Raw genomic sequence first — 14,311 nt, 5'->3', positions numbered from 1 at the left:
TCAAGAGGGAGAGCCAGGACTGGAACTCATAAAATGTTTCCTGAGTTCTTGGAGTAATGTCAACTGTATTCATCCACAAGCACGCGTGCAAAACAAACACCTGAAACCTTTACAGATGAGTAAGATGAGTATATGCTTTTAAAGCTCATTAAGGTCTTTTTGTTGTTGCTGTTGTTGAGATGCTGGGGGTCTCACTATGTTGCCCAGGTTGGCCTCGAACTCCTGGTCTCAAGGGATCCTCCCACCTCAGCCTCCCAAAACACTGGGATTATAGGCATAAGACACCATGCCCAGCCTCACTCATTTCTTTTCTATTTTTCTAGTAACAAGCAAATAGTAAAAAATCGTTTGAACCACAACATATTGAACTTTAGAAACTAAATGTTTCTAAATGATCAAAACTGGAAACAAGTTTTCTGAAAATATTTATCAAGATTATATCAACTGGCCCCAAAATAATCCATAAGAGGAAAGTGGTAGAGGCCATAGCAATTGCTGGCTTTTCCTTGACTAAATGTCACTTACTGTAATAATTTATAGGAAGTATTCAATGTGTTGGCTTCTAGACAAGAAGTGATTCACTCTTATTACTTCTCCAAGAATTGATTCACTCCTCCATTAAGGAAGAGAGACAGAAACCTTGACCCTTTCCTTCATGCTGACCACCTACTGCATGGATTCCAGAGGCTGGAGATAGACAAGGAAACATCACAAGACCAGCAATTCAGTGGCTTTGTTTGTACACTTTCTGCATTTCCACTGCTGGCCAGAAGGCAGTGAGACTTTGAGAGGCAAAGCTGAAGACTGGAGAAATTGCTTGTGTTAGAAAGAGCCCTGGGAGCCGTGGGGAGGCCAAGTCCCTTCCCCTCTCACTGCCACTGTCTGGACAGCCATCAGAATCATTGTCCACAGAAGGCAAGACAGAGCCAGCAGTCTGAACCTAACTGAGTTGGTGATTGTTCAAACAACACAAAGTAAAAATCAATACTCTCCAGGGAATCTAACCACACCCAGAGTCTAAACCATGTAATATAATCACATGCTTCATAATGGCGTGTTTTGGTCAAAGATGAACCACATATGCCAGGGTGGTCCCATAAGATTCTTATTTATTTTTTTGAGACAGAGTCTCACTCTGTCACCCAGGCTGGAGTGCAGTGGCACAATTTTGGCTCACTGCAACCTCCATCTCCCAGGTTTAAGTGATTCTCCTGCCTCAGCATCCTGAGTAGCTGGGATTACATGCATGCACCACCACACCCAGCTAACTTTTGTATTTTTAGTAGAGATGGGGTTTCACCATGTTGGCCAGGCTGGTCTTGAACTCCTGACCTCAGGTGATCCACCCACCTCAGCCTCGCAAAGTGCTGGGATTACAGGTATGAGCCACCACGCCTGGCCCCATGAGATTCTGTTACCGTATTTTTACTGTTCCTTTCCTGTGTTTAGACGTGTTTAGATATATAGATACTGAGCATTGTGTTACAGTTGCCTACACTGTTCAGTATGTCACATGCTGTCCAGGTTTGTAGCCTAGAAGCAGCAGGATATACCATATAGCCTAGGTATGTAGTAGGCTATGCCATCTAGCTTTGTGTAAGTACTCTATGATGCTCCCACAACAACAAAATTCTCTAACAGTGCACTTCTCAGATGTATCCCTGTAGTTAAACAACACATGATTGTATTAAAAATGTACAGGTGTGTGATGTCCCCCACCCTGTGTCCAAGTGTTCTCATTGTTCAATTCCCACCTATGAGTGAGAACATGCAGTGTTTGGTTTTCTGGTCCTTGCGATAGTTTGCTCAGAATGATGGTTTCCAGCTTCATGGGGGCCTGTTGTTGGGTGGGAGGAGGGGGGAGGGATAGCATTAGGAGAAATACCTAATGTAAATGATGAGTTAATGGGTGCAGCAAACCAACACGGCACATGTATACATATGTAAAAAACCTGCACGTTGCACACATGTACCCTAGAAGTATAATAATAATAAACAAAAAATGTACAGGTTACAACCTAAAGTTACTTGACAAAGATACAACATGAGGTTAGGGTGGGAGGGAGGTGAGGGTGGAAAAATTACCTATTGGGTTACAATGTTCATTATTCAGGTGATGGGTATACCAGAAGCCCAGACTTCATCACTACGCAACATATGCATGTTAGAATTCTGCATGCGTACTTCCTAAATACATAAACATATTTAAAATTTAAAAATCCATGAGTTTAGATCATGTGACCTCTTAGCTTATTTTAGTTCTAGCATTCTGATTTTTTTTTAAAAAGGTAAAGTAGTAGAAATAGAAGCTAATGTTTGATAACAAGATATGGGCCTTTTTTTTGTAGGGAAGTCAAATTGTGAAAATGTAAACATTTATAATTGCTAACATTTATTGGGCATTTATTTGAGCACTTCCTATTCTAATATTATATGTATTACCTCATTAACCCTCACTTCAGCCCTACGACGCTGGGACTACTGTCATTCTGTCATTCATTTTACAGATGGCCATGAAGCTTGGAAGTCAGGTGACTTTCCCAGATGGTGGAGAAGAAATGCAAACCAGGTAACTTCTATTTCCGACAAGTCAGGAGATGGCACATAGACCTCTCTTGGTACAAAAAGGGCAAAACAACTTGATGCTTTCTTTTTTTATGTGCTAACATATTCTCCTTTGGCTGTATTATTGGATTAAGGATCAGAACTAACATTGAGTGAAAGCTCAGTATGTCTACTAAGCACTTTACAGGTATTTAAACAATTCTTTGACTAAAATGGGTGCATAATCCCCATTTGTCTTAGTTTGGATTCTCTCAGAAGCCAATCCTGAGACAAGGATTTGAGTGTGAGTGGTTAAATTTGAGAAGTGATCCCAGGAAGCACTGACTGGGGAGAGAAGGCAGCCAATATAGTTTGCTTTATTAAGCCAGTTATCACCACTGGCAGGTGGATCTCAGCCCTGCTGGGGAGCTCCAAGAGGTGGCGTTGAACATGCCTTACAGTTGCTCCCCCTGGAGAAGAGGCAGCTGGGTTATGGATACACATGCTCCCTTCAGTCCCTGGTTGAGGCTGCTCCTGGAGGTGGACGGGCATCAATTCCCCAGGCTTTCTAGCCCACCCTGGGCCAGAGCTCTGGTGAAAGCCTCATGCAAAATGTCACAGGTGCTGGAAGCTGGACGTCAGACTGGTAAGCAAGTGTCAGTGGGCACAGCACAATGGCATCCACAACACCGTGTTACATTTGAGGCAACTGAGGCACAGAGATATTAAGAAATATGACCAAGCACCCACAAGTCGGGAACAGCAGAGTCAGGGCTTCAAACCTGCCTGAGCCCTTCCTCTGAGCCACCACTCGCCCCTGACTTTCAGCCAAGAAACTTCTCTATCTTATGTGAGCAGAGCTGGTGGCTGAGGAGGGTGGAAGGCAGGATCTTGAAAATATGACACCAGGGCCGCCATGACAGCATTTTGCTAATCCTCTATTACAAACTACGCAAAAAAACAGCAGGCCACCTGGGGTTGCAGAGGCACTCAGGTCAGATGCCAAGTCTGAATGGGTAGCTTTCTGGTTTCTGACCGTCAAAGAAGATGACCTTTCCCAGCCTCAGCTTCCTCATCTGTAAAATAGGGCCACGCACAGCTTCCCGGGGTGGTTGCTGGGAGGACTGGGTGGCGTCTCCACCAGGAGCAATTGTATGCATCTGACACCTCGTAAGCACGCTGCTTTCTTTGTTGTCTCCGCCCTGACATAGAGTCAATTAGTCTTCTCTCTTTGAGGGGAAGCCCTCTGAAAACCACACTGGGGTTCCTGCAGTCTAGTGTCACCTGAAGTCCCCAGCATGAGGCCCTCATGCAGCACACACTCCAAAAGTGTGAAGTTTAACAGAGAATTCTTCCTTTGGGAGAAGACATGGAATTATGTTTCTTCTCTTTACCCTGCAGAATACAGGTGTGTAACTCTAGCGATGAAATCACCGCCCAGGCATGGGGCAGGCAGGTGTGGGGCACCCTGTCACTCTGCAGGGATGTCCTGTAACCTGGGTTGGTTTTAAGTATTGTTGGCCATGCACACTTTGGCTCATAAATAATAAATACTGAAGGACACGGTATGATTTTAAGGAAGATCCCATTAGCCCAGCAAGGAAAGGGGCCGAAATAAGGATAACAAGCACTGGGGCTTTGATCCACTTCAGTTTCTGCTCATTTTGGTGGGCTTCAAGGAAAGCTAGTCTGCAAAAGTATGGGCTACATCTGTGTGATATTTGATGTAGGGAATCCATCAGCCTGATTTCAGTGTCTTTTAGTAAAAGGCCAGGAAAAATGAAAGCAGGGAAGAAGAGACCAATCTCCCTTATGGAAGAATTCCAAATAATTTATGTAGATCCTCCCGCTTCTGGGAGGTGGAGCTTAATTCTACTCCATCCCTTGAGTGTGGGCAGTGCTAAGTGACTTGCTTCCAAAGAACAGAGTATGGAAAGAAGGGAATCTTTAATTTTACAGGGCAGAAACCTGGCATACATGGCCTGGGTCAGGGGGTTGGGAGAACAATTTCAGTGATGAGTCATGCAGACAGCAGTACCCTCTGGTGTGATGTGCCTTCACCTCTGAGGTCACCTTCCCGCCACATAAAACCAACTGGAAGGCAGCGGTAATTCCCTGCCACCAGAAGTATAGACAAGGCCTGCCAAGGGACCGTGTCAGTCGCGCTTGCATCTTGGCTTGACCTTGCTACGCCTTTGGTTTCTTCATCTATAGAAGTGAGGGCAATAAATGGAGCCTCCCAAGGCATTCGGAGGATTAAAAGGGATTCTTATACATTAAAGTGCTTTGTAAACCACACAGGGCCGCCCACGAGGAGTGATTACCAGTGCTCTCACTTGGCTCTTTTAAAAACAGGGATGCATTTAATTCATACGCTTTGACTCTACAGAGGAGGTGGCTGTGACTTCACCTGGGCCTGGACAATAACTGAGAAGCTCCAAAGTGGATACTGTGTCTGCGAGAAGAGAGTGGGGGCTGTGTCTACACCATTTGTTCCCTGTTGAGAGACTGAGCTAGTGAGACAAGGCTGTGGGTAGGACCTGAGGACCAGGGAGGGCTGCGTCTATGCGGTGCTGGCCTCACAGAGGCAGCCAGTGGGAACCCTCCTTTTGGCTGGAGTGGAGGGGTGGAAAAACATAGGTGTGCCCTAAAGAGCCTGATGCTGCCACACAATTCGTGCAGCATTTTAGGTGTCTTTTGGGTGACATTCCTCAATTCCTACATGAATTCCTCTTTTACCTGGTGAGGTTTCCTGCCTGGGAGGTAGAAAGACTCTAGGAATATGGTCAAAAAATACTCTGGAGCAGACATCTTCGTGTGACTTATTTTGTGATGCCATCCGCCACCCACCTTGTGAGCAAGGTCTTTCCGAATTACTGAGCTAACAGCCCCCTTGTGCAGGCTGTCATGGAGTCAGGGGCTCAGGGTCAGAGAGTCACAACTCCAGGGGTGTCAACCTTGTTTTGGTTGATGTAACATAATTGACCCCATTTTGATGCCCTAAAGTAAAAATTAATCAACAAAAGATGTCCCACAGGGGAAAACCAAGTGCTTCTTGTCGTGGTCTTCTATTTAAATTAATTTTTGGAAATAATATAGGTATCCTTTTGCATACCACAATCTTTCTTCTTTTTCTCTGCCTCTTGTTAACTCTACAAGGACATTTGTTCCTTCAGGCGATAGGGTCACATGTACTAGATCAGAAGTCAGAAGATTCAAGGTTTTAATCTCTGTTTGGCACTAACATGCCTCCCTGGCTACACCTCTCAGAAGAGTTTTTTTTTTTTTTTTTTTTTTGAGATGGAGTTTCACTCTTGTTGCCCAGGCTGGAGTGCAATGGCATGATCTCGGCTTATTGCAACCTCCGCCTCCCGGGTTCAAGTGATTCTCCTGCCTCAGCCTCTGAGTAGCTGGGATTACAGGCATCCACCATCATGCCTGGCTAATTTTTTTGTATTTTTAGTAGAGACTGGGTTTCACCATGTTGGCCAGGCTGGTCTCAAACTCCTGACCTCAGGTGATCCACCCACCTCGGCCTCCTTAAGTGCTGAGATTACAGGTGTGAGCCACTGCACCTGGCCCCAGAATAGCTCTTTATCTTAAAAAATAACCCAGATAACTCAGGGGCTTGAACCAAACTGTGACCTGAAAAATTAAAAACAAGTCACACTAGATATTGAAGCTAGAGCCAGCTTAAATACTCATTTGAAAACAAAAACAAAAACAAAAAAAACCCAGATCTGAACCAGAGTAGTTGTGATTGTTTAACTCCCCGGGAATCATTTCAATCACCTTTTCTATATGCGCTATACTCTCCGGTGTCTAACCACATTTTCCGTATCATTTCTCTATTAACAAACAAAAAACACTCAGATACGTAAATCGAAGTGACCTTTGAAATATGTGGAAATTGACTTTAAGGGTACTTTTTCTTCAAATTGTTAAATTGCTCTTTGGAGAAAACATACATTTTGGTTTGTAGCACTTAAATAAGCACAGTACTGTCTCTTTTCTGCTACTGACTTCTAGGAATATGAATAGTTGGCTCTTTTGTATCACTGCTGATAGTCTGTGGAGAGTATCTGAATGAAATAGAAAATTTAAGATTACTAACATGTTTGGATTTGGACAAATTTTGTTTTTCTTGAAACAAGCCTTGAAAACAGAGGGATTTCCCAAGACTGACATCAAGTCAGAAATAAACATCATTTTACTAAAATGAAAACACTAACCACACCATTGCAACAAGTTCTGCAAAATGAAGATTTCTCTACCAGAAACTTTGGTTGGATATCCCCCATGGGTTGAAAAAGACTAAAGCAAGAGTGGTGGGATGTGAACACCCACCAGTGAGGAACGTGTGTTGAAGCAGGAAGTGATTTCACCCCATCTACATCCTATAGCATGGGTCATCAGTAATGAGCGCAGCACACTGTCCGTGAAGAGGTTGATCCCAATACTTTAAGTAGGGCCCCCAAACTGCACACTTCTTATTAAAGCATTTGTCTGTTCTTCCATGTACCACTCTGGAAGGGTGAGAGTAGGTGATGGCTCTCTGGGAGGGAAGCCCAGTATGTGGCCTGGAATGAATAGAGAGCTGGCACACACAGGAACGAGCCCGTGTCTCTCCAACCAGGAGAGCCAAGCTGGTGCCAGGCAATGAACATGTATTCAGGAACCTCTGCATAGCAGGGCTTTTGGTTGGAAGTGCTCCAAAGGGTAGTCTAAATAGAATGCAAATTCTCCATGAGAGAACATAATCATTTACAGGGGCAGTTTTTCGGTTTTGAGATTGATTCACTGTTTATCATTTGCACTTGTCTAGAAAGTGCTAGAAAGGATAGTGACACCAGCACATGGGCAAAAGGAAAGTGACTGAGAACTATTTGTTTTTCTCATTAGCTTTTCTCTATGTAACTGAAGAACCACCCTCTGAAGAAGACAGATGAGTAGTATCTCCATATACTAAAGGGATACATGTGCATGCATTCACAGGGTCATTTTCACCTAAGAATGACTGCTCTAACATACATGGATTAAACCAGTGTATTATCTCCTCCTACCTTCTTGACTTCAAGTTGTTCCATAAATCTAGGCTTTAAATTAGAATTCTGTCTTCTAGTTCAGAGCTATCTTCTTCAGAAGCTATAGGAAATGAGGATAGAACTAGATTTTTTTTTTTAAAGCAGACATAGACCAGTTTTTAAGCCCACATAGACAAGTGGGCTGGCTAAGTCCATGTTCTGGTCAGAGGCCTAATCTAATAAAGTGCACCTCTATGGGGACTGGCTTTCTAATAGTTAGGGTCGCATCTTTCCTTCCACCTGGACTTGTGATGAGTTTCTCAGGTTGACCTCTGCTCCCACTCACCTTCTTTATTTCAAAAGCCTAGCACTGTCACTATACTTTCAAAACAGAATGCTGTTTCACTGGTGAAGAAACAGGAGGAACTGACTGCTTTTAGTGCAAAAGTTTAAAAAAACCAAACCAAACAAACCCACAGAAAAAGCATGGCAATGCTTGTGGAGGCCATATCCATAACTCAACAGAGAGCTTTAGTCTGAGCTGCCTCAACACAGGGTTGTCCCTGCAGTTACAATTCCCCTGAACTACTGATGAGAAAATAGAAACACAAGCAGCAGCAGCAGAACAGTGAGCTCAGCAAACGTGGGCTTCTGATCCAATGGAAGTTCAAATACCGCACCTGCTAGTTTACTAGAGAGTGTGGCTGTCAGACAAATGGCATGGCCTGGCAGAGCCCTCCTTGCCTTCCTCCAATCCTTAAGGGATGACGATGCCTGTTCACAGGGGTGAGGTGAGGACCCACTGGAATAGCTTGGACAGGCTGCCGGGCTTATACTCGAAGCTCCATAAATCATTTTAAATTAAAGGCTGCATCCTTCTAGAGTAGTGAAATACATAATTTTAGCATGTTTTTTGGAGAAAATGAGTGAGTCCTTGAGTTCTAAGAGCAAGTACCACATCCGAATTTAACTACAAAAGGAGCTGGCTGAAGAGCTTCCCGGGACTAACTTGGGTTGGTTCTTACAGCATCAGCAGGGAGGGAAGGCCAGGCACTGTGGGCTGGTTGGCGCCGCTGGCCACATAGCTCAGGCCTGACATCAGCCCCTGCCTGGCTGCACCCCCCTCTGACCCCAGCCCCTAAGAGGAAGCTTCTCCTGCAGGTTGGGTTTCTGTTAATACTGAGTCAGATATGGTCTCCCTTGAGAGCGGGTCTCTGGTGGGATGGGGAAAAAGGCAGCCTGTGTGGATATTCTGCTGTCTCCTTGATGTCTTTTTCAATTAGAAGGCACCTCACAAGGGCACATTCCTTTAGCCACTCACTCCAGCAACACCCCAGCTTTAACCACGCCCTGATCAACCAGGCCTGGCCTCAGTCAAACCACAAGAAAACAAACAAGGCTTTGATTCCTTTGTGAGAAAATCAAAGAGCTGCTGAAAATCACTTAAACGAGAAAAAAGAGAGGAGAGAGAGAGAGAGACAGAGAAAGAGAAAGAGCCCTCTATCACACACTGTTTACTACTTTCAACAAATGGACCCAATCAGAAAGAAAAAATTGGGGTGTAGCTTCTGAACCGCCTGGAAATGTTTGGTAGCTCCAAAGGCTCCTGCTGCCTGGTGAATAAAGTCTCTGAAATTAACCTTCAAGAGTCAACCTTCTAAAATTAAAAACAACAAACAAACAAACAAAGAACCTTCAACATTCTCACCCTGGAAGAAAAGACTGCTTGCCAAATTCAAATTTGCCTTGGCCAAAGTAACCATTAGCAACTCATCCTTTAAATGAGATTATAAAGAAAGAATTTCCCCTTGAAGTTGGAGAAAACACCTTTCATGTGACCTCCAAACTATGTTACTTATTTTAAAGTTACACAAAACAAACTTGTCTTTTTCAGTTTTTGCTTACTCCCAAGCCGTGCTGCTTACAGAAGTGTATGGGATGAGGAGCCAGCAGGATGGTAACCTTGAGGGAGAACAGGGGGCCCGGGGTCCCTAGATGCTGGTCAGGTTCTGCTTATCCAGGGGTTGGTAGTTGTCCCACAGGTAAGCTTGCGGTGGAAACTCATTCCAATGCATACGTGAGTTTTGTGCTCTCTGAACATATGCTACACCTCAATAAAAAGTTTACTTGCAACCAAGACAGAACAAAATACCCACTGCCTCTCAGAAGATAACAAAACTACCTTTGTATGTATGCACAGCCTGCAGAGAAGCACGCGTCCAGAAACACCCGGCACATGTAACACACACACGTTACCACAGCAGGCGGCAGCTGGACCCACAGAGGACCAAACTCCATCCCTGAACAGAATCACTGTGCAGCTCCAATCTGTCACTCCCGAAGACATTTTTGAGTCTGGCAGTCAGCAGCTACTTTGAGAAACTGATTTTTCCATTCAAACCGGGAGAGAAGGTGGAGCTGGGTGTTGTTTTGAACTTCGGAGTAAACTTCATAAAAAATAACAAACATAGGTTGCACTGCCCGGACAGAGTTACAATAGATTTTATATTTTAAAAAAGAGGGTACTTACCTATTTGGTCTTCAGGGATCAGCGACTCGATGGGGGGGTCCAGCTCCGAGCTCTGAGACAAATAGTTCTTGACCTGGGTCATGAACTGCCGGATGGTCTGCAGCATGTCGGTGCTGGACACGTGGCACTCCTTGTTCTCCTGCAGGAAGCTCACGTAGTCCTGCACTAAGCACCCGAAGTAGGTGCATTTGTCCCGGGAAAGCTCGGCGATCCTGCGGACCATCCGCTTCTCCGGGGTCATGAAGGAGCTGAACACCCCGCTCACCTTCTGCAGCTGGGACTTGACGAGCTTGGGCAGCACGAAGGAGCTGCTCCTTTTCTTTTTGGACTTGATGGGGGGCGCCATGGTCTCTTGGTCACTTTCCCCCTCGTAGTCCTCCAGGCTGCTGTTGGTGTCCGCCTCGTAGCCAAACAGAGGCATGCTCCGGTCGAACTCCAGCGAGTCGGAGGAGGAAGTAGAAATGCTCATGTCGCTCAGCCGCTGCCGGCCTCCATGGCACGGGGGCCGTGATTCAGAGCTGGGCGGCGGGGCCCTTGTGCAATCCCCCGGGGCGGCCTCAGGCGGGGCCCCACCTGGGCTGCCAGCTGTGCCCAGCTCCAGCTCCGGGCCTGCGCCCGGCCGGCCGCCGCTCAAGGTCTTTGCACCGCCCTCTGCTTCCAGAAAAGAAGCCTGCTTCTTCAGCCGGGGTGGAGGGATGGGAGTTGGTTTCGTTCCAGGCAGAGCTACGTTCCCATGTTTGTTATGGTTGACTGTTTCTGGCATGCTCGTCTGGGTTTCAGTCCTGGCCAGCCGAGGGCTTGTGTGGAGACTATTAATAGCGGGTGGCGGGGGCCTGGGTGGGGGGGACCGAGTCCGCTCCGTGCCATTCGCGTTGGGAGTCCTTGTGCTCGGCCGTTTCAGGCCTCCACTGAGGTCCTGGCTGTGCACTTTCAAGAAAAGGGGATTAATAAAGCACAGGGCCCCGTTGGTCTGGCTGCACTCCAGCTCTGAAGGCGTCCTGGTTTTGATAGAATGCACTCCATTTATAAGGCAGAGCTGACGCAGGGAGGCAGGACAGACACCGTCGGAGGAAAGAGGCCTATGGGGAGGTGGAAGGTTCGGGGGTTTGCTGTCAGCTGGGGAGCTCCAGAAATCTGAAAGTCATTATCAGTGAACACAAGAATGTAAATACGGTACACTCAGACCATTCCTTCACAAATTAAAAAAAGCACACTGCATGACAACGCGAGTCTTGCGGGGTGGGGTAGGGGGTGCGTTGTACTCAGGTTTACTGCATTCCTTTACTGGAAAGGGCAGAAAGGCTGCCAGGCCCAGCTGTGGGCTCACAGGAAGGCTCCAGGGGTCTGTCACCTTCAAAGCCCTGGAGAAATGGCTTGGCCAACATAGGATTCCAGCCCTGCCTTTTCACAGGTAAGTTGGAAGAAAAAAAGGAACTGGAATTGCTCCAGTATAAGCTCAAAAAAGGTCACTGGGGCTTCCTGACTTGCTTTACAAAAACTGAACCGACTTACAAAGCAACACCACCCTTTCCCAACAACTTCTCCTGGGATGCCCTCCACAGTGCAGCTGCCAGCCAAGGAATCGGGCCTTGAAGTTCCCCTTTAATGGGCAGGACCAGCAGCTGGGCCTGGGGGATGTTACACAATCTGCCTAGGGTTTTACACATTCAGCATTAAAACCACCAAAGGAGGAAAACTACATTCATGGGTCCCATCAGCAGAAAAACCACAGCAAGCTTAATGTGCAGTGCAGGCCCAACCATTTACCTTTGTGGTTTGGAGTCCCTCCTTCCCAAATCCTATATAACCTCCTCACCATGCTCATAAATATGCAATGCTCTGCGAAGTAGTGCAGATTGCTTATTGATCTGTACTGCCTGTGTCTCCTCTTGCAGATGAGTCTCAGTGTTCCATGTAAGTTGAGGGAGGTAGTGCTGTGATCAGTGGTGCCTGTTATAATTTCCATTTGGGATAGGTTATTCTTTTTTTTTTTTCCCTTGAGACGGAGTCTTGCTCTGTCGCCCAGGCTGGAGTGCAGTGGCACGATCTTGGCTCACTGCAACCACCACCTCCCAGGTTCAAGTGATTCTCCTTCCTCAGCCTCCCGAGTAGCTGGGACTACAGGCGCACACCACCACGCCTGGCTAATTTTGGTATTTTTAGGAGAGACGGGGTTTCACCATGTTTACCAGGCTGGTCTCCAACTCCTGAACTCAGGTGATCCACCTGCCTTGGCCTCCCAAAGTGCTGGGATTACAGGAGTGAGCCACTGTGCCTGGCCTGGAATGGGTTATTCTCTATCTCTAGCTATGCTTTGCAGTGTCTTTCTTTCCCATGGGCCCAGAATGGCTGGCCATGGGAGGACTGAGATGAAGCCCTTTGGGAGTCCTGGCTCTCCCTTGTCTGTGTGGTGACAGCCGTGTCACCTGCCTTATGTAATCTATCCTGTATCCCTCCTTCTCTCTCCCGACTCCCGCACTGTCCAACAAGAAAGCCAACAGCCACAGGTGGCTATTGAGCACTTGAAGTTGGCTAGTACAACCGAGGAAGTCAATATCAAATCTCATTCAGTGTCAATCAATTTAAATTTTAGAACTCATGTTCAGTTCAGTTACTGGAAAACGTTTAAGTATCTTTGGAACTTGGTTATGAGAATCTACCTTTTTAACTGTGAATTTAATGAAATCTAAATACAAACCATGTATTTCTGACAAACATTCAGGGCCTGAGTTTGAGATATGCTGTAAGTATAAAATAACTCATTGGGTTTCGAATACATGATATGAAAAAAAGAATGTAAAACATTTCATACCTTAAAATTTTTTATATTGGCTGCATGTAGAAATTATAATGTTTTGGATATATTAAATACAACAAAATAAATTATTAAAATCAATTTAACCTGTGTGGCTACTAGACAGTTTCAAATTACACACAGATTAGCCTTATGTTTCTATTACCCAGGACAGCAGGTCTTGGAGAAATTACTTCCACCTCCTTTGAGTCCTCCTTAGACTTATACTGTCACAGCTGTAAATCTTTTGTAAGGCTTTGTATATTTAGTTCACGTGTATATCTATCTCCCATATAAACTACAAATCTCATTGGCAGTAGGTACAGGCACAGGGAGTGAGAGGGGATCTTATTAACCCTTGAGTCCTTGGTCTGGGGCACAGTGTCTGCCACAAAGCAGACCCTCGAGGAATATTAGTTTGATGAACAGTACTTTTACTGAGGCACAGAATTTTAAAATATTCTATCTCTACGCAAAATGGATAATATGCACATCGAGAATCACAAGTCGAATATATGTTAATTAGCCCTCAGTCGCTTCTGGTTAGTAGCCACTGGAGCAAACTCTTTTCACCTCTCTCGGCATGGCACAAGCATTGTCCTTGACACTTTAGTCCTTCAGACTCAGCACTATGCACTCACTAAGCCTGTGGACCATCAGACTGGAGCTATGTGGACAGAGGTCGGGAGAGAGAACTGAGACCCGGTGCACATCTTCAAGAGGCCTAGAATCTAGTTGACAATATTGACTTAACTTCAGCAAGTATTTTAATCTCTCTCCAAAGGTATGCAGAACTTAGTTGCAAGAGAAGGTGCAACTTTTAAATAGGGACGTTTCTATGGCCCGAGAGTTTTACCAGTATTCTCTTTCCAAATCCCATTACCCAGTCTTGCCATCAGACAGGCCTCAAACACAGAAGGCAATCCTTCTACAGATACAATCTAAGTTTCATGGCCGAGCACAGTGGCGCACGCCTGTAATCCCAGCACTTTGGGATACCAAAGCGGGTGGATCACCAAAAGTCAGGATTTCGAGACCAGCTTGGCCAACGTGGTGAAACGCCGTCGCTACTGAAAATACAAACATTATCTGGGCGTGGTGGCAAGTGCCTGTGACCCCAGCTACTCGGGAGGCTAAGGTGGGAGGATCGCTTGAACCTGGGAGGCAGAAGCTGCAGAGAGCTGAGATCTCAACACTGCACTCCAGCCTGGGTGACAGAGCGAGACTCCCTCTCAAAAAAAAAAAAAAAAAAAAAAAATTGCAGTTTCAGCAGAAGGGAATTCAAAGCTATGCCCAGGCTCCTCGCTGAAGCTTCCTTGGAAATGGCGCTTGCTTCAAAACAAGTTCTTTAAATTAAGAGAAAAATATGCCAGAGGAGGAATACATACATCTTTTATTTGCTGGGTCAAGTATCACAGT

General features: G+C 45.7%; 1 protein-coding gene across 20 annotated transcripts in view, besides 2 other annotated features; it reads right to left on the bottom strand.

The window, feature by feature from the left end:
- The window catches only part of RIN2 (Ras and Rab interactor 2), a 244,858-nt gene that overhangs the window by 16,571 nt on the left and 213,976 nt on the right, over positions 1 to 14,311 (bottom strand). For 19 of the 20 annotated variants that reach the window (XM_047440212.1, XM_047440213.1, XM_017027888.2 and 16 more), the window contains one exon: positions 10,099 to 11,232. In XM_047440212.1, coding sequence (XP_047296168.1) covers positions 10,099 to 11,232 — 1,134 coding nt within the window. Of the gene's footprint in view, positions 1 to 5,753; positions 10,016 to 10,098; positions 11,233 to 14,311 lie in introns of those variants that run through there. The other variant, XM_017027893.2, reaches the window with a different exon arrangement.
- Positions 4,542 to 5,041: an enhancer, noted in NCBI's record as "H3K27ac hESC enhancer chr20:19961489-19961988 (GRCh37/hg19 assembly coordinates)". NCBI's record gives its function as "activates a minimal SCP1, AML or CMV promoter by ChIP-STARR-seq in naive H9 embryonic stem cells {active_cell/tissue: H9 hESC(naive)}" and the evidence as "EXISTENCE:reporter gene assay evidence [ECO:0000049][PMID:30033119]".
- Positions 5,042 to 5,543: an enhancer, noted in NCBI's record as "H3K27ac hESC enhancer chr20:19960987-19961488 (GRCh37/hg19 assembly coordinates)". NCBI's record gives its function as "activates a minimal SCP1, AML or CMV promoter by ChIP-STARR-seq in naive H9 embryonic stem cells {active_cell/tissue: H9 hESC(naive)}" and the evidence as "EXISTENCE:reporter gene assay evidence [ECO:0000049][PMID:30033119]".

Source organism: Homo sapiens, chromosome 20 (genome assembly GCF_000001405.40).
Source record: "Homo sapiens chromosome 20, GRCh38.p14 Primary Assembly".
Lineage (NCBI taxonomy): Eukaryota > Metazoa > Chordata > Mammalia > Primates > Hominidae > Homo > Homo sapiens.
Note: the sequence above shows the minus strand (reverse complement) of the source record. Positions and strands in the feature narration are given on the sequence as shown.